Source organism: Homo sapiens, chromosome 4 (genome assembly GCF_000001405.40).
Source record: "Homo sapiens chromosome 4, GRCh38.p14 Primary Assembly".
Taxonomy (NCBI): domain Eukaryota; kingdom Metazoa; phylum Chordata; class Mammalia; order Primates; family Hominidae; genus Homo; species Homo sapiens.
Genome location: NC_000004.12, coordinates 130,761,439 through 130,781,797, shown reverse-complemented (window position 1 = coordinate 130,781,797; position 20,359 = coordinate 130,761,439). Strand labels below are relative to the sequence as shown.

The window sequence follows — 20,359 nt, the reverse complement described above, 5'->3', positions numbered from 1 at the left end:
TATATAACAATGATAGGAAAATATTTTGTTTTGCGTGCTTCCATTAAGGTAAAGCTTACCTATGTCACGCACATCGTTCAAATTTTTTTATTTTATTTTTACCCATCAGTCCAAGTTTCCGAGAATATGTGAGAAGAGAATTTATGTTCTTATTTTTGCTGACCATTGTTGTCATTGTGCATCAGCTTTCACGCCCAACTCTTACCGGCAAGCCCCCATTTCTTTATTCCTTAGTGGTCCGTTAAGGTCCGTTAAGACAGGAAAAATGGCCAGGCGCGGTAGCTCATGCCTGTAATCCCAGCACTTTGGGAGGCCGAGGTGGGCGGATAACCAAGTAAGGAGATCGAGACCAACCTGGCTAACAGGGTGAAACCCCATCTCTACTAAAAATACAAAAAATTAGCCGGGCGTGGTGGCGGGCACCTGTGGTCCCAGCTAATAGGGAGGCTGAGGCAGGAGAATGGCGTGAACCTGGGAGGCGGAGCTTGCAGTGAGCGGAGATCGCGCCACTGCACTCCAGCCTAGGCGACAGAGGGAGACTCCGTCTCAAAAAAAAAAAAAAAAAAGATAGAAAAAATGGGCTAGATCTACTATTTTTGGTACACACACACTAGATAAACTTCCTTGACGTGATAATATCTTCTCTACTGTGAGTTAATTTCTTATTGTTATTTTTTCTATTTTTGTGTATTTTTATTGTGCTACCTTATATTTTCTCCTTCCTCTTGTTCCCTGAATTGGATATTGTTTTATAAGACTCTGATGGCAAGCTTTTTTCCTTAACTTGTTTTATTTAATAGCCAGACTTTTTATAGCATGTTGGGAGAAAGATGCAGAAAATATATGCATTGATGTCCTCTAGTCAGAAGACAGATTCACATCAATGAAAAAACAGGGTGCTGAATTATTTTGGATTACACAATGTAGAAATATATCTGTATCACTGAGCAGTTATAACTGAGTGAGGGAGATGACATACACACAAAAAAGAAGCAACTCAGGAGAAATTGTAGGAAATTGTAATCTGATAAGATGGACTAAAAAAACCATTTTTAGAATTAAGACACAATATAGAGTTTTTATTTAGAGATTGTTAATGCACTCCAACACACTTCAACCACCCAACTACAATATTACAGACTATTTGGAACTTAAAGGAGTTTCATGAAATGTAAGCAGGGTGAAGAGAGAAAGTGTGAATTTGAAGTGGAAGTGATGACAACATAATCAGAGGATCTAGGGCGCCAGTGCAAGTTTATTCTAGTAACACCCACTTGAGAATATGTGAAGAATAGAAGTATTAGAGAAAAAATACATCTAGCACCTGATAGGAATCATTAACATGTCAACACCATATTGCAAAGAACAATATAAATCTGACATAATCACTTCTGTTCTTTGAATCTGGTTATATCAATCTAAAAATATATGTGCATTCATTATTAGAGGAGTATGACAAAGCATCTAATTTTATAAGAAAAATAAACTAGCTACACAGAAGGCTAAGAATATTAACCTCTTTTGAACTTACCTATGTCATCTAAGAAATTTATAAATTAAGTAACTTACTGCCACTAACCCAAAGAGTACCTGCCTTTTGTTGCTATGTTTTTGCTATGACAGCATTCTATCCTCTTTGCTAAATATTTTGTTAGTCACTGTTATTATAAGCATTTTTCTTAAATAGGTTGCTACTCATAAATTTCTTTTATTTCAAAAATCCTTTTTATGCTTACTTATGAAAATGGATCCTGAATTTTCTGTTTCCATGAAATCAAGGGAATGTTAAATTAATGGCTATTTATAATAAGATAATAAATTACTAGTGCTGATAAAATTATATACATATTACTTTTAGAGATCCAAAATACATAATGCAAGGCATCCCACATAAGTAAAAAATTTGGGCAAGCACACATTACACCTACTAAATTATATTATTGTATTTATTACCTTATAATGATTTTGAAAGTATATGTAAAAAGAAAACAAGATTTGTTTTCTCTGTTGCCCTTAAAACAGAGGGGATGGCCGGGCGTGGTGGCTCACGCCTGTAATCCCAGCACTTTGGGAGGCCGAGGCGGGTGGATCATGAGGTCAGGAGATCGAGACCATCCTGGCTAACAAGGTGAAACCCCGTCTCTACTAAAAATACAAAAAATTAGCCGGGCGCGGTGGCGGGCGCCTGTGGTCCCAGCTACTCGGGAGGCTGAGGCAGGAGAATGGCGTGAACCCGGGAAGCGGAGCTTGCAGTGAGCCGAGATTGCGCCACTGCAGTCCGCAGTCCGGCCTGGGCGACAGAGCGAGACTCTGTCTCAAAAAAAAAGAAAAAAAAAAAAAAAAACAGAGGGGATATTTTAAATATAATAAAAGTCTAAAATTGATTCTATCAGGTAATTTGGATGATGTATAGCATATACCAATAGCATAATTTTTTAAAAGTAAAATATATTGTTGATTTTAATACTGTAGTGAACCAATCTGAATTAAAAATAACTTTAATATTGAGTGAGAAAGTCTTACACTTTTCCTTAATTATGCAGGCAATTAGAAAGTCTTGCTTGTACTTAGGTTGTCAAAAGTAGATGTGTTGTTAAGATTAACAAAACAATGTATCAGCATGTGTATTATGTGGTGATCCTTCTCCATTTAGCTGAGAGTTTTAGCAGTATGAAAAATAAATTTCCTCTGTGCTGTCAAGCTTACATTAAAAATAAATTTAGAAACCTATTTTCATTTGCATCTTTTTGGGGAACTATGTTAACTTCATCATGTATTTTTTTAAGAGAACTTTTTGTTTGTTTAATAAATTGTTTAACACTCAAAACATCTGTATCTGAAAGACTTATTAATCATTTATGTATACAAAATATAAGTAAGAACATTAAAGTTTGAAATGATACAAGAAAACAATATTTCTAATTTCTTATGCTTGAAGTCAGATTTGCCAAGAAATTGTGAATCATTCTTTTTAAAGAGTGGATTCCTATCTCTGATCCATCCCTTGCTTCCTTCCTTCCTTCCTGCCTTGCTTCCTTCCTTCTTTCCTTCCTCCCTCCCTTCCTCCTTCCCTCCCTCTCATTCTCTTTCTCTCTTTCTTTCTTTCTTTTTCTTTCTTTTCTTTCTTTCATTATTTTTATTATACTTTTAAGTTCTGGGGGTACATGTGCAGAACGTGCATGTTTGTTACATAGGTATACACATGCCATGGTGGTTTGCTGCGCCCATCAACCCGTCATCTACATTAGGTGTTTCTCCTAATACTATCCCTCCCCTACTCCCCTACCCTCCAACAGGCCCTGGTGTGTGATATTTCCCTCCCTGTGTCCATGTGTTCTCATTGTTCAACTCCCACTTATGAGTGAGAACATATGGTGTCTGGTTTTCTGTTCTTGTGTTAGTTTGCTGAGAGTGATGGTTTCCAGCATTATCCATGTCCCTGCAAAGGACATGAACTCATTATTTTTTATGGCTGCATAGTATTCCATGGTGTATATGTGCCACATTTTCTTTATCCAGTCTATCATTGATGGACATTTGGGTTGGTTCCAAGTCTTTGCTGTTTTAACAGTGCCGCAATAAACATATGTGTGCATGTGTCTTTATAGTAGAATGATTTATAATCCTTGGGTATATACCCAGTAATGGGATTGCTGGGTCAAATGGTATTTCTAGTTCTAGATCCTTGAGGAATCGCCACACTGTCTTCCACAATGGTTGAACTAATTTACAGTCCCACCAACAAAGTAAAAGTGTTCCTATTTCTCCACATCCTCTGCAGCATCTGTTGTTTCCTGACTTTTTATTGATCACCATTCTAATTAGCATGAGATGGTATCTCATTGTGGTTTTGATTTGCATTTATCTAATGACCAGTGATGATAAGCTTTTTTTCATGTGTTTTTTTGGCTGAATTAATGTCTTCTTTTGAGAAGTGTCTTTGCCCAGTTTTTGATGGAGTTGTTTGTTTTTCTCTTGTAAATCCGTTTATGTTCTTTGTAGATTCTGGACATTAGCCCTTTTTCCAATGGATAGACTGCAAAAATTTTCTCTCATTCTTTAGGTTGCCTGTTCACTCTGATGATAGTTTCTTTTGTTGTGCAGAAGCTCTTTAGTTTAATCAAATCTCATTAGTCTATTTTGGCTTTTGTTGCCATTGCTTTTGGTGTTTTAGTCATGAAGTCTTTGCCCATGCCTATGTCCTGAATGGTATTGCCTAGGTTTTCTTCTAGGGTTTTTATGGTTTTAGGTCTTACATTTAAGTCTTTAATCCATCTTGAGTTAATTTTTGTATAAGGTGTAAGGAAGGTATCCAGTTTTGGCTTTCTGCATATGGCTAGCCAGTTTTCCCAACACCATTTATTAAATAGGGAATTCTTCCCCCATTTCTTGTTTTTGTCAAGTTTGTCAAAGATCAGATGGTTGTAGATGTGCAGCATTATTTCTGAGGCCTCTGTTCTGTTCTATTGGTCCATATCTCTGTTTTGGTACTGGTACCATTCTGTTTTTGTTACTGTAGCCTTGTAGTATAGTTTGAAGTCAGGTAGCATGATGCCTCCAGCTTTGTTCTTTCTCCTTAGGATTGTCTTGGCTGTGCAGGGTCTTTTTTAGTTCCATATATTCCAGGTGCCACTGGGGTATGAAAAAAAAAAGAAAAACTCCTGTGGCTAGCTCTGTGTCTGCTCAAACAGCCACCCAGTTTTGTGCTGGAAACCCAGGGCCCTGGTGGTATAGGCACCTGGAGGAATCTCCTGGTCTGCGGGTTGCAAAGACTGTGGGGAAAGCACAGTATCTGAGTGCACAGTGTCTGAGTGCACGGTACAGTCCCTAATTGCCTCGCTTGGCTGGGGGAGGGAGTTTCCCAACCCCTTGTGCTTTCTGGGTGAGATGATGCCCCACCCTACTTCGGCTCGCCCTCATTGGGCTGCACCCACTGCCCAACTAGTCCTAATGAGATGAACTGGGTACCTCAGTTGGAAATGCAGAAATCACTCGCCTTCTGAGTCAATCTTGCTGGGAGCTTCAGATCGGAGCTGTTCCTATTTGGCTATCTTGCCAGCGACCCCCCAGTTGAATATTTATTCAATAAATATTTACTTGTTGCTTACTCCATGTTAGGATATCTTCTGTGCCCTGGAGCTATAGCAGCGAGCAGAGCAAATGTCCTGCCCCCACTGCGTCCTTGTCTTGGTAAAATTTGTGTTGCTATATCAGAATGAGACTGAGTAATTTACAAAGAAAAGAGGTTTAGTTAGCTTATGGTTCTGTAGGCCAGGAGGTTTAAAGGGCAGGGCGTTGGCATCTACTCAGCTTCTGGTGAAGGCATTTGTGTTGGATCAAAACATAATGGAGAATATTCCATGTGGGAAGGCAGACCAATCATAATGAGGAAACGCTCTTTATAATAACCTGCTGTTATGGGAGCTAATCCGTTCTTGGAAGAACTCATCTAGTCATGTGAGACTGAGAACTTACTCACTAGCATAGAGATAGACACCAGGTCATTCAGGAGGGATTTGCCCCCGTGACCTAAACACTTCCTCTTTGGCCCACCTCCTAATAGTGCTGCATTGGCAATTAAACTTCAACATGACATTGGGTGTGGACAAACCATATCTAACCATAGCAGTTCCCATTCCAGTGAGGGGAGACAGCCAATGCGAGGTGATACATGACATAAAGAAAATAATACACATGAATGGATGGAGTCACATGAAAAAGATAAGCTGGCTAATCAGGGATGATTGTTTGAGATACCTGAGCAGAAATCTAAAACAATCACATTTTTAAAAGACAAAAAACGGAGGAAGCAGTAAGAAAAAGACTAATAGATTTCCAAGCAAGAGCAAGTGGGCTGATGGAGTGTGCATAACCAAATAAAAATGCTTGGGAAATTACTAGATGTAAATTGGGTCAAGAACATACAGAACTCTGCAGGATACAATACACTATGTTGTTTACATTTTATTCTAAGATGAAATGCCATGGGAGGGCTATAAGCAGATTCGTGAAATGGTGAGACCACATTTTCAAAGAATCACTCTTTCTGCCAAATAAAGGGTAAAATGTGTCAGGGGTGGTGGGAGTGTGGGCAGAGGTAAGGGTGAGTAGGATAGAGGAGAGGCAACTGGGGAGCGTAAAGCAAGAAACTTTACAAATTGTGAAAATAGACTAGACAAGAAATGGGGTTCAGTTACAGTAAAGTGATAATGGTGAAAGTTGAATCTTTGCATTCCAGATGTGTTTTGGAAATAAAATCCCTAGGTTTAGCAGATATGGATTGTGAGGGGAAAGAAACAATCACATGATTTTGAGATTTTTTTTAGATCTTATCATTTGGCAGAATATAGTTTCCATTTACGGTGATGTTTAATGCTTGGAGAGGAGCAGGCATGATTTTGGAGGTGAATCATGAGCCAGCTTGGAGATATCTTAAATTTGAAGCATCCATATGCCATTCAAGCAGAGATGTGGAATAGAAATATATCAATCTTTCAATTAGTATCTCCTGAACAAACACTTAAGTACTTAAATAGCCAAGCATGAATATACCAACAGGGGCCATTTTAAGTATCATTCCAATAATTATGAAAACTAAGGACTTGAGAACAGTTTCATACATTAAGTGGTGACAGTCTCCATGTTCATGGAAATGAAAGCCAAACGTCCCATCACTGAAACCAGACATTACTTTTTATTTTTTAAAAATTTTAACTTTCACTTGGAAATAATTTTAGTCTTACACAAAGTTTGCAAAAACACGACAAATAATTTGTCTATATTTTTGACATGACTTTCCTAAAAGTGAACATTTTATATAACCACCACGTAATTATCATAAACAGAAAATCAATATCAATGCATTACTACTAACCGTTCAAATATTGTTAATTATTTCATCAATGACCATCATTGTACATTGTTTTTACTTGTCATCTTGGTAACTTTGTTTTTCTAGGATATTTATTTAGCCTTTACCTATCAAAACTTACAGTGGCCATTAATTTTGGATGTTGTCCCTCAATTTGAATTTGTCTGGTCAATTCTTAGGAAGAAGTTTAAGAAATGCCTTTTTTTTTTTTTGCAAGTATACAACAGAGATGTTGTTCTCTTCTCAGTACACCAGGAGGCACATAATGCTAATATGTTTCATTAATGATGATAACTTTGATCACTTGGTTAATGTCATGTCTGCTAGATTTTCTCCACTGTAATGTTACTATTCTTTCATTTATGATTATCAGTATCATACAGGGAAATAATTTGAGACCACAAACATATACTGTTTCCATTATTTTTGGCCAAGAAATAAATGAGCCATTTCTCCAAAGATATCTGTACTTGTTTCTATTAGAAAATGTTTATTTAGAAACTAATATTTTACTGTCCAAGTGCTCACTGATGCTAAGGTTTCATTGCTTCTGGGCCCTTTCAGCAGAAATAGATAGGAAATGTACAAATGAGCTTATACGTATATAATCACATATCTATCAAAATATATATAACCTGAGTTCATACTGATATCTCCAATATCAATCTAACACCTCAGGGTTTATTCTAACCCCACCTGTCTCTTCTCAGACAATGACGAGTTTGGCTTTCATTCTCTACAATATATTCTCTACAATATTAAAGAACAATATTTAAGAATGGGTCTTATGTACTTGGCCTTAAATACATAAGACATAATGTATTTAAATACATGAATACATAATGTAACTTTATAACATACAAATAACTATGTTATAAACTTACATAAGCTAATTATTTTCTTTTCACCCTTTACAGTGTGATTATGTTACACATTTGTAACAGATTTGAATTCCTTACACCTTTTCTATTCCACTTGTCCCCCAGGATCTTTTTTCTATATTTCTTTTTTTTTTTTTTTTTTGAGACGGAGTCTCGCTCTGTCGCCCAGGCGGGACTTGCGGACTGCAGTGGCGCAATCTCGGCTCACTGCAAGCTCCGCTTCCCGGGTTCACGCCATTCTCCTGCCTCAGCCTCCCGAGTAGCTGGGACTACAGGCGCCCGCCACCGCGCCCGGCTAATTTTTTTTGTATTTTTAGTAGAGACGGGGTTTCACCTTGTTAGCCAGGATGGTTTCGATCTCCTTCTATATTTCTTATTCTAAAAAAATTTAGGTTTTTAGAATGTGAAACATCAGCTGTATTCTAAAAGACCAACATATACAAATAGCTATATTCAAAGAAGTGTTAACTTCCCATACTTCTTATTCATTCTAAGACATTTTTATATATTCATTTTCTGCCCCATTACCACCATCCCTACATGAAACCACATTAATTAGTTCATAATGTGTTCTTCTTGTATTTCCTGTTTCAAAAAATACAGATACATATGTATTTTCTTAATCCCTCTTTAGTCTTACATGAAAGACAGAAAGCTACAGATACATTTTCACACTTTTTTTTTTTGTCACTTAATGATATATCCTGAAACTCTACATCAATCTCTTTTTCTACCCCTGCACAGTATTAAATATTCCATGGTGTGGATGTCCTGGTTTCATGCGCGTCCCTGTGAAGAGACTACCAAACAGGCTTTGTGTGAGCAACAAGGCTGTTTATTTCACCTGGGTGCAGGCGGGCTGAGTCTGAAAAGAGTCAGGGAAGGGAGATGGGGTGGGGCTGTTTTATAGGATTTGGGTAGGTAAGGGAAAAAGGGGGATTGTTCTCTGGCAGGCAGGAGTGGGGGTCACAAGGTGCTCAGTAGGGGAGCTTTTGAGCCAGGATGAGCCAGGAGAAGGAATTTCACAAGATAATGCTATCAGTTAAGGCAGGAACAGGCCATTTTCACTTCTTTTGTGGTGGAATGTCATCAGTTAAGGCAGGAACCAGCCATCTGGATGTGTACGTGAAGGTCACAGGGGATGTGATGGCTTAGCTTGGGCTCAGAGGCCTGACATTCCTGTCTTCTTATATTAATAAGAAAAATAAAATGAAATAGTGGTAAAGTGTTGGGACCGTAAAAATTTTGGGGGATGGTATGAAAAGATAATGGGCGATGTTTCTCAGGGCTGCTTTGAGCGGGATTAGGAGCGGCGTGGGAACCTAGAGTGGGAGAGATTAAGCTGAAGGAAGATTTTGTGGTAAGGGGTGATATTGTGGGACTGTTAGAAGAAATATTTGTCATTTAGAATTATTGGTGACGGCCTGGATACGGTTTTGTATGAATTGAAAAACTAAACGGAATAAGCGAAGGAGAAAAACAGGTATTAAAGGTCTAAGAATTGGGAGGACCTAGGACATCTAATTAGAGAGTGCCTAAGGAGGTTCAGCATAGCCCTGGAGCAAAGATTATTTATTTACTTTAAGAGTTAAGAGTGGCAGTTTGGGGATAGCACCAGGAGGTATCAGCTGTGATGGCTTGGAGAAACAGAGTAAACTGGCAGTGTAAACAAGAGCAGAGCATGTATGAGTAGTTGAGAATGGTGAATAGGAGTATGACTAGACAGAAGATAGTAGGGATGACAAGTTTTTGGGGCACAGTCTAAGTTGGTCTGGTGTCTGGAATGAGACTGGGGCTTAATAAAAAGGAACATCCATACAGGAGCTTAAATGAGCTGTACCTTGTAGCATTCTAAGGACAGGCCTGTATTCTGAGAAAAGAAAGAGGTAAAAGTATTGTCCAGTCCTTTTTAAGTTGGTGGCTGAGCCTGGTGAGGTGTGTTTTTAAAAGATTATTAGTCTGTTTTACCTTTCCTGAAGACTGAGGACTGTAAGGGATATAAAGGTTTCACTGAATACTAAGAGCCTGAAAAGCTGCTTGCCTAATTTGACTAATAAAGGCTGGTCTGCTATCGGACTGCATAGAGGTAGGAAGGCTAAACTGAGTAATTGTGTCTGACAGAAGGGAAGAAATGACTGCGGTGGCCTTCTCAGACCCTGCAGGAAAGGCTTCTACTTATCTAGTGAAAGTGTCTACTTAGACTAAGAGGTATTTTAGTTTTTTGACTCGGGCCATGTTGAGTAAAGCTAATTTGCCAGTCCTGGGTGGGGGCAAATCCCTGAGCTTGATGTGTAGGGAAGGGAGGGGGCCTGAATAATCCTTGAGGAGTAGTAGAATAGCAGATGGAACACTAAGAAGTTATTTCCTTGAGGATAGATTTCCACAATGGAAAGGAAATGAGAGGTTCTAAAAGGCGGGCTAGTGGCTTGTACTATAGCATAGCCTGCCTTTGCTGGTGTGTGGCGATTAGGCCTGGTGGAACTGCCATCAATAAACCAAGTGTGATCAGGGTGAAAAACAGGGAAGAAGGAATGTAGGGAAATGGGGTGAACATCAGGTGGATCAGAGAGAGATAGTCATGAGGGTCAGGTGTGGTATCAGGAATAATATGGGAGGCTGGATTGAAGTCTGGGCCAGGAACAATGGTAATTGTGGGAGACTTAACAAAGAGTGAGTACAGCTGAAGGAGCCAGGAAGCAGAAAGTATATGTGTCAGGTGTGAGGAAGAAAATAGATTTTGGAAGTTATAAGAACTGTAGAGAGTGAGTTGAGCATAGTTTGTGATTTTAAGGGCCTCTAAAAGTATTAGGGCAGTGGCAGCCACCACATGCAGACTTAAGGGATAGGCCAAGTAGTAAGGTCAAGTTGTTTGGATAAAAAGGCTACAGGACGCGATCCCGGTCCTTGTGAAAGAATTCCGACCGCACAGCCCTGCACTTCAGCTGTGTGTAATGAAAAGGGTTGGGATGAGTCAGGGAGAGCTAGAGTGGGGGCAATCTTCAAAGCTGTCTTCAAGGAATGGAAAGAGGAGTGGGGAAAGGATTTAGGATCTATGGGGTCAGCTAGGTTTCCTTCTGTGAGTTTATATAATGGTTTCGTTAGGGTGGCAAAACCAGGTATCTAAAGGTGAAAGTATCCAACCATGCCTAGGAAGGAAAGGAGTTGTTGTTTTGTAGAAGGGGTTGGGGTTTGAGAGATTAGTCGGACATGATCGGCAGGGAGAGCACGTGTGTTTTTATGAGAATTATGCTGAGATAGGTAACAGATAAGGAAGAAATTTGGGCTTGACTGAAGTAACGGGGGCTGTCTGTGAAGCCTTGCGGCAGTACAGCCCAGGTAATTTGCTGAGCCTGATGGGTGTCAGGGTCAGTCCAAGTGAAAGCGAAGAGACGCTGTGATGAAGGGTGCAAAGGAATAGTAAAGAAAGCATGTTTGAGATCCAGAACAGAATAATGGATTGTGGAGGGAGGTATTGAGGATAGGAGAGTATATGGGTTTGGCACCATGGGGTGGATAGGCAAAACAATTTGGTTGATAAGGCATAGATCCTGAACTAACCTGTAAGGCTTGTCTGGTTTTAGGACAGGTAAAATGCGGGAATTGTAAGGAGAGTTTATAGGCTTTAAAAGGCCATGCTGTAGCAGGTGAGTGATAACAGGCTTTAATCTTTTCAAAGCATGCTGTGGGATGGGATATTGGCATTGAGCGGGGTAAGGGTGATTAGGTTTTAATGAGATGGTAAGGGGTGCATGATCGGTCGCCAAGGAGGGAGTAGAGGTATCTTATACTTGTGGGTTAAGGTAGGGGGATACAAGAGGAGGAAGCAAAGGAGGCTTTGGATTGGGAAGAAGGGTGGCAATGAGATGCAGCTGTAATCCAGGAATAGTCAGGGAAGCAGATAATTTAGTTAAAGTGTGTCTCGGCCTAATAAAGGAACTGGGCAGGTGGGGACAACTACAAAGGAGTGCTTAAAAGAGTATTGTCTAAGTTGGCACCAGAGTCGGGGAGTTTTAAGAGGTTTAGAAGCCTGGCTGTCAATACCTGCAACAGTTATGGAAGCAAGGGAAACAGGCTTTTGAAAAGAAGGTAATGTGGAGTGGGTAGCCTCTGTATTGATTAAGAAGGGGACGGACTTACTCTCCACTGTGAGAGTTACCTAAAGCTCGGCGTCCGTGATGGTCTACAGGGCTTCTGAGGCAATCAGGCAGTGTCAGTCTTCAGCCGCTAAGCCGAGAAGATTGGGAAGGAGTCAGTCTGAGAGCCTTGGGCCAGAGTTCCAGGGGCTCTGGGAGTGGCTGCCAGGTGAGTTGAACAGTCTGATTTCCAGTGGGGTCCTGCACAGATGGGACACGGCTTAGGAGGAATCCCGGGCTGTGGGCATTCCTTGGCCTGGTGGCCAGATTTCTGGCACTTGTAGCAAGTTTCTGGGGGAGGCGGTTCTGGAGGAACACCTGGCCACTGTGGTTTAAGCGTTTGGAAGTTCTTGTGTGCTGGAGATGTGGCTGTGGTTTCTCTCACAGTGGAGGCAAGGAATTGCAACTCAGAAATATGTTGCTACTTGGCTGCCTCTACTCTATTATTGTACACCTTGAAGGTAAGGTTAATTAAGTCCTGTTGTGGGGTTTGAGGGCCGGAATTTAATTTTTGGAGTTTTATTTAATGTTGGGAGCAGATTGGGTAATAAAATGTATTTTGAGAATAAGACGGCCTTCTGACCTTTTAGGGTCTAGGGCTGTAAAGTGTCTCAGGGTTGCTGCCAAATGAGCCATGAACTGGGCTGGATTTTTATATTTGATGAAAAAGAGACTAAATGCTATCTGATTTGGGATAAAGAAAAAGGATCACTAACCTTGACTATGCCTTTAGCTCCAGCTACTTTTTAAGAGTAAATTGCTGGGCAGGTGGGGGAGGCCTAGTCACTGAACGAAACTGTAAGCCAGACCAGGTGTGAGGAGGGGAGGTGATAAAAGGATTATAGGGTGGAGGAGCGGAGGCTGAGGAAGAATTGGGACCTAGCTCAGCCTGGCGAGGAGGGGAGAGGTCAGATGGGTCTGTAGAAAAAGAAGATTAGAAAGACTCAGTGATGCTTGGGGTTGGGACTGAGGGGACAGGTGGGAGGGAAAGAAGGAAGATTTGGGACAAGTTGCATTGGGAACTGAAACTAGGGAGGCACCCATGTGTAAAAGAATGCCTGGACGTCAGGCACCTCAGACCATTTGCCTGTTTTACGAGAAGAATTATTTAGATCTTGTAGGATGGAAAAATTGAAAGTGCTGTTTTCCGGCTATTTGGAACTACTGTTGAGTTTGTATTGGGGTCAAGCAGCATTGCAGAAGAAAATAAGATGCCTAGATTTTAGGTCAGGTGAGAGTTGAAGAGGTTTTAAGTTCTTAGAACACAGGCTAAGGGAGAAGAAGGGGGAATGGAAGGTGGAAGCTTGCCCATAGTGAAGAAGGCAAGCCCAGAGAAAAGAGAGTAGAGACAGGGAGAAGGGGTGGGGGGTTCTTGCCTTTCAGAAAAGCAGAGAAGAGGTCGGGGCATGGAAATAACAGGTTGGGGCACAGAGATAAGAGGTCGGGGCACATAAATAAGGGATCGGGGTGCAGAGATAAGAGGTCGGGATTCCTGCCCCTCCCCTAGAAAAGCGGGACTTGCCGCTAAGGGTGAAGGAGAAGGGGTTGAGGGGTTCTTGTCTCTCCCCCAGAAAAGCAGAGAAGGGATAGAGACATGGAGAGAAGGAGTTGGGGTTCTTGCCCTTCCCCCAGAAAAGTGGGACTTGCTGCTAAGGTTGAAGAACCAAGGCAGGAGTCCCTGCATGGTCTGACACTTCTGAAACCTGGGTGAATAATCAGAGAGGCATCCCTGCAGTGATTAAACACCAAGGGAAGGCTGCCTTCCCTAGTCCTTGACCAGCACTGGAGTTTTGGGTCCACGGATGAAACGTGTCTCCTTTGTCTCTACCAGAAATTGAAAGGAATTGAAATTAAGAGAAAGGAGAGATTGAAGTGTGGCACCAAGATTGAAAGGAGAAAGAGGTTGTGGGATAGTGAGGGAGGTTGGAGAAGAGAGTAAAAAGAGGCTGCTTACCAGATTTGAAATTGGTGAGATGTTTCTTGGGCTGGTTGGTCTGAGGACCTGAGGTTGTAAGTGGATCTTTCTCATGGAGCAAAGAGCAGGAGGACAGGGGATTGATCTCCCAAGGGAGGTCCCCTGATCCGAGTCACGGCACAAAATTTCATGCGCGTCCATGTGACGAGATCACCAAACAGGCTTTGTGTGAGCAAAAAGGCTGTTTATTTCACCTGGGTGCAGGCGGGCTGAGTCCGAAAACAGAGTCAGCGAAGGGAGATAGGAGTGGGGCCGTTATATAGGATTTGGGTAGGTTAAGGAAAAAGGGGGGTTGTTCTCTGGCAGGCAGTAGTGGGGGTCACGAGGTGCTCAGTAGGGGAGCTTTTGAGCCAGGATGAGCCAGGAGAAGGAATTTCGCAAGATAATGCCATCAGTTAAGGCAGGAACAGGCCATTTTCATTTCTTTTGTGGTGGAATGTCATCAGTTAAGGCAGGAACCAGCCATCTGGATGTGTACTTGCAGGTCACAGGGGATATGATGGCTTAGCTTGGGCTCAGAGGCCTGACACCTGGTATCATAGTTAATTCAACCACTTTCCTCTAGGACATTTAGATTATTTCCAGTATTTTACAGCTGCATATGATGCTTCAGTATATACTGTGTTGCATTTGGATTTTCATGCTATTGAAGGTGTATCTTCCTAGAAGTGGAATAGCTGAATCAAGAGTAAGTCAATATACAGGCTGTTGGATATTATCAAATTCCCAAAGGCTTGTTTTAGTTTGCTTTTTCAATTTGTATCTCCCTTTGACTCAAAAGTTGTTTTATGAAGTGAGTTTTAGTCTCTAGGTAAACATGCCACTTTTCTATTTCTATTATTCATTATTTCCAGTTCTATGACATGATTATACAGTATATTTTTCATAGTTCCAATTCATGGAATTTAATGTTTTCATTGTTACCTAATCTATGACTAATTTGTGTGAATATCTCATGTACACTTAACAAAGTGTGTTCTCTTATCAGACCATAGACACATTCATATGTGCACACACATTAGTAATCGCCATAAAATCTATATTATTTACTGTGCTATTTGTGCCTTAATTGTCTGGCAAATACATTTTGTGTCCACTTACTAAGTCTTTTACATAGAATTGTGTATTACATTTCCAATAATTATTGCATTTTTCTCTGTGTCCTTGTAGTGCCCATAGTTTTTGTTCATAACATTTGTAGTGCTAGACGATCTATTGGGTTTTGTTTCTGAGGGTTATTTTTGGTGAATAGCAACTGTAAATATAATGTTTTTGTTGTAAATTTTTTCTTTTTGCTTTAAAAAGTGACTTTTCTTGTCATGTTTAATGTTTGTGGCTTGATTTCCACTTATCTGATGTCAAGACTGTTACAACTGTTTTAAAAAATTATTTTGTTTGGTATGCTCTTGTCCATTCCTTCTAAATCACACTATTTTGGATGTATATCTGGTATACAACATATGACTTTGTCGAGCTTTGTGAGCCATGATAAAATACTTTTTCTTTTATTAAGTTTAGCTATTCACATTTATTTTTATGACTGATATATATCTTTAAGTCTACAATGCTCTTTTATACTCGTGTACTTTAACTATTATGCTTTTTTCCCCTCCTTAATGTATATTTTTTCCTCTTTTATTTAAAACTATGTTTTAATACACAGGAATGTTTGGTTTACTGATTATTGAAAGCCTTTAGTTTCTGTTTTCCAATTTAAAATTTTACTATGTCTATTACTTTTTTTAAGGTTTAATTTTAAATTTGACAATGAATATTTTACTGAGGTTACAGGTAACTCTTTGAAATGCTTAGATAAATCTGGAAAGCATTATGCTTAAAGAAAGAAGAGAAACAAAGAAAAGTAGAAACTGTATTGTATTTATAAGAATTCATAGAACAAGTAAAACTAATCCATGTCGAAAGGAAGGGGAGTATTAGTTTCTTCTGAGAAGAATTTTGACTGGGATGGCCAGAGGGAAGCTTCTCGGATGATGAAAGTTTTCTATTTCTTGATAGCTGCATACATTTCCCAGGTCTATGAATTTCTTAAAACTAATTAAATAATACACTTGAGATTTATTCATTTCATTTCACTGTATGTAAATTTACCTCAATTAAAATGTGTGTGTGCATAGAATTTTAAGTCATTAAAATTTTTAGCCATAAAAATCTGTACATTATTTTGGAATTGATAGTACAGGTTAATCAACATTACATTATAACAGAACAAATTATTTCCTATAAGTCATATAAATATCTCTGTAATATTTATTGGCTTTTATGTGCTATTTTATGAATATTTCAAAAACAGATAGTGGGATGTTTAAAATAGTAAATATAGTAACAGTATAAAATATTTTCAAATTATTAATATCATTCTAAGCTATCATAAATTCAACTAATGGAGAAAAGTTATTGTAACTTCTTTATACAAAAGAGGCATATGAATGTGTCCTTTTCTAATAAACAGGAAGATATTCCTAGTCCCAAGATAATGTACTACAAACATCCTACAAATGTATTTTTTGCAATACTTGATAATATAACCATCCAATTTGTTTTAGTTAATATGTCTAAAATTAAATTTTAATTTCTAACTCCTGGACTATAGCATTCTGAGAAATAATAGTTACCTGTCCAATTGCAAAAGTGAAGTGTACTATTATATTGCATTAGCTTCCTTTCGTCTTGTTTCCTATATTCCTATTCACTTGAACGATATTATTAAGTTCCAAAGCTGATTATATGGCTTGCTTTGTGAACAGAGACAGGGAGCATTTCAGACAGCTGAAAATAATGGTCTATTTGGTTTTCAGTGAAATACTTAATCTATCATCTCCTTTGAAGAATATACACCACATATTAGAATTAAAATGTTCACTAGTTTAAACACTGGAAAACCAAGAATCAGTTAAAATTTTAGATATTACCTTTAAAAAAAAACAATTTTAGTATTTTGGCTTCCTACTCACAAAATTAAAGTTTTTAAAAGTATTACCAATCATTAATTATGAGTAGAAGAACAATAATGTCCTCTCTTTTCTATTGTGATGTGAACTAAAAGAATGTACAATGCAGAAAATAGTTATTCTAATACACTATGTGATCTGAAGAAAAATTGTTATATTGAAATTAGTTTTAACATGTAATTATCAGAATCAGCCCTTAAGTGTGACGTTTGTGAAAATATACTTTAGTAATTATTAAATAAAACATAAATATCAGTTTTATTGATCATAATCTTGATATGCATAAATTTAATGTTAATTAAATGCTTCTAAAAATTAATCTGACATATTCAATAATATTTATGTAACATTGAGCTGCTTTCAATTATGATATACTTAATAGGTATATAATATTGATGATGTAACATCTTTAATACAAATACGAAGTTCATAGAGCTTTCCATTTTAGCCTAGTAGTTTTCAGCAAAATCATCTTTCTTTTCATGCTCTCACATTAAAAATACTAATCCTTGCATTTTGTTTGCATAGAAGTAGCCTACTTTAGGTTAGTGAATTCCCAGGTGAATGCATGGGTTTGGTCAGCATCAGCTACAAGTTCAAGTATGGGATATATATGGGATTTTCTAGGACGGATGCTGACTAAACAGTTCCAATGGAAGCAAGCACAAGATGGAGTGCTTAGGAAGTGCCTGCTTGATGCTGTCCAGCAGTGTACTAAAATTGCACTCATTCTAATTGCCTCTTCCATTATTATTACAAACACATGAAGCAAGTAACACACATGTAACTTTCTTCTTCCACCATCTTTTCCATGATCATTTTAAATATATGATTTCTGAATTCTCAGCTGGCAAGCAATGTCAAGAAAAAGAGATGTTAGCGTTCTTGTTTTGAAGTAGGCTTTGTCCGCAGTGGAAAGGGACCTGCAAAGGTCCAGTGATATTTACATTCTCCAGATTTTTTTCTGTGTCCACCAGCCTACTACACCTCAGATACCCTTCTGCCGCCTTCCCCTGTTCAAGGAACTCAACACCTCTCACCCTATTCCTCTATTTATTGTTCCTGATGCCCAGTTCCAAAAATATGTGAAGCATAAAGTCCAAAATCTCAGCAGTGCACTGCTTAAAGTAGTGAAAATATAATTTATGGTAAAGAAAAAATAGATCTAAGTGTTAGAAAGATAATGTGAAAATAAAAACTGGAGTTCCCAGCCTTAAAGCAGAGACAAAGTAAATTAGACAGGAGTAACTAAGGAACATGGATAGGAGAGCATCTCATGTTCCTTTTCAACCCACATTAAAAAGAAAAAAAGGAAAAAAAAGATTACTTTGGGGGAAACAACTGACAAAAAAAAATTCTACATCAAATATTAGGGCTAATTATCCTTAAAAAATACCAACAACAGATTATAATAATTTACAAGATATTAAATACTTTTATCCCCAAATTAAGGAGGTTTACAATTATAACATCTAGGTAGCTAAATGAAGTAGTGTAAATGGTATGAAGAGCAAATAAACAAGATAAGCTACATTACCTACCGGGGAGAGATTAGAAAGAATGAGAATCTTGTTGTAAGAAAGACAAACTCATATTTATATTAGTATTATTATATTAGTATTATTTTTTAAGTTTTACTTTAAGTCCTTGAATACATGTGCAGAACGTGCAGGTTTGTTACACAGGTATACATGTGCCATGGTGGTTTGCTGTATCTAACAACCCATTATCTAGGTTTCAAGCCCCACATTCATTAGTTATTTGTCCTAATGCTCTCCTTCCCCTTGCTCTGCAACCCCCAACAGGTCCTGGTGTGTGATGTTCCCCTCCTTGTGTCCATGTGTTCTATTGTTCAATTTCCACTTATGGGTGAGAACATGGCTTTCTGTTCCAGTGTTAGTTTGCTGCAAGTGATGGCTTCCAGCTTCATCCATGTCCCTGTAAAGGACATGAACTCATTCTTTTTTATGGCTGCATAGTATTCTATGGTGTATATGTGCCACATTTTCTTTATCCAGTCTATCATTGATGGGCATTTGGGTTGGTTCCAAGTCTTTGCTATTGTAAATAGTGCTTCAGTAAACATATGTGTGCATGTGTCTTTATAGTTGAATGATTTATAATCCTTTGGATTGCTGGGTCAAATGGTATTTCTGGTTCTTGATCCTTGAGGAATTGCCACACTGTCTTCCACAATGGTTGAACTAATTTACAGTCTCACCAACAGTGTAAAAGCATTGTTATTCAGTTAATTATATCTAACATTTATATTTGGTTATTGATATGTTCTGTTCTCTCTCTTTTTCTCTCTCTCCCTTTATTCCAGTTAGTCTTCCTCTCGTTCTTAGTCATAGTAGGTTTATTTCTATTTATGACATCCATGTTAGCCTGCTTAATATTTTATTAACATGTCTTATATAGAATAATATATTTTAATTATTTTTAAACTACTTAAAGTTGTCAATTGGATTACATAAATATCTTCTCAAAATTTACATAAAATAATTTACATAAGTAAATAAGTTCTCAGAAAAGTATGATACTTTTCTTCAAATTTTATTCATTGTTTAATGTTAATACAACCAACATTACAAAGTAGAACCATATCTTATAAATTAGAGTAGGAGTGGTAAAAATAAAGACGAGCAGTAACAAAGTATCTCTCAGGGATTCACAAAAAGAGTCTTTCTCATACATTTCTGGTAGAAGTGTATATTATTACAATAGTTCTGTTTTACAAAGGAAATAATACAGAGATAGCTATTAAAATTAAAACAATAAATATACCACAACCTAGAAATTTAATTCTTAGTAATCTCTCCCATAGAAAAAAACCAGTAATAAAAAATACAGGTATGTGATTGTTTTATTATACCATTGCTTAAGTTAAAAAGAAAAACTAAGAAACAACGGAATAGCTATTAACAGGATTCAACTTCGGAAAAATATACGGCTTATCTAAAATATATGTTTTACATATTAATTAAAATAGTGGTATTTCTAGAAGGCAATGTTAAGAAAGAAATTGTGTAGTAAATTACATAAATTGTAACCTTATTTTAAGATATGATTCGTTAACCAGTCCCTCTATATTAATTTTTCACATTTTTAGTTTTCATATTATTAGGAAGAAAGCTATGGTTGGATTTATATAAAACACTTATTGAAATTTTAACAATTAATTACCTATGTTAAGTATATATAGTATTTGTGTGTTTGTGTCTTACAAAAATATTATCATGCAGTACAATAATGCTTGGCAAATATTTTCTATACAGAGTCTGGAAGTAATTGTTTTATTTTTGTTGGCTAAATATGGTTTCAATGGCAGCAGCATCTCCTTTTCTTTATTCTTCTTCCCTTTCTCCCCTTTTCTACTCTATTTAATAAAAAAATCACTTTTTAATTTTGTGTTATTATGGTAAGGACACTTCACATAAGAGCTATCCTCTTAAGAAAATTTTAAATGCACAGTACAATATTTGTATTATTTATCTTCTTAGATCAAGGAATGTGCAAGAACAAGCCAT

The 20,359-nt window shown here is 37.9% G+C and overlaps 1 annotated feature.

The window, feature by feature from the left end:
• Positions 13,845-14,629: an enhancer, noted in NCBI's record as "OCT4-NANOG-H3K27ac hESC enhancer chr4:131688324-131689108 (GRCh37/hg19 assembly coordinates)". NCBI's record gives its function as "activates a minimal SCP1, AML or CMV promoter by ChIP-STARR-seq in naive and primed H9 embryonic stem cells {active_cell/tissue: H9 hESC(naive and primed)}" and the evidence as "EXISTENCE:reporter gene assay evidence [ECO:0000049][PMID:30033119]".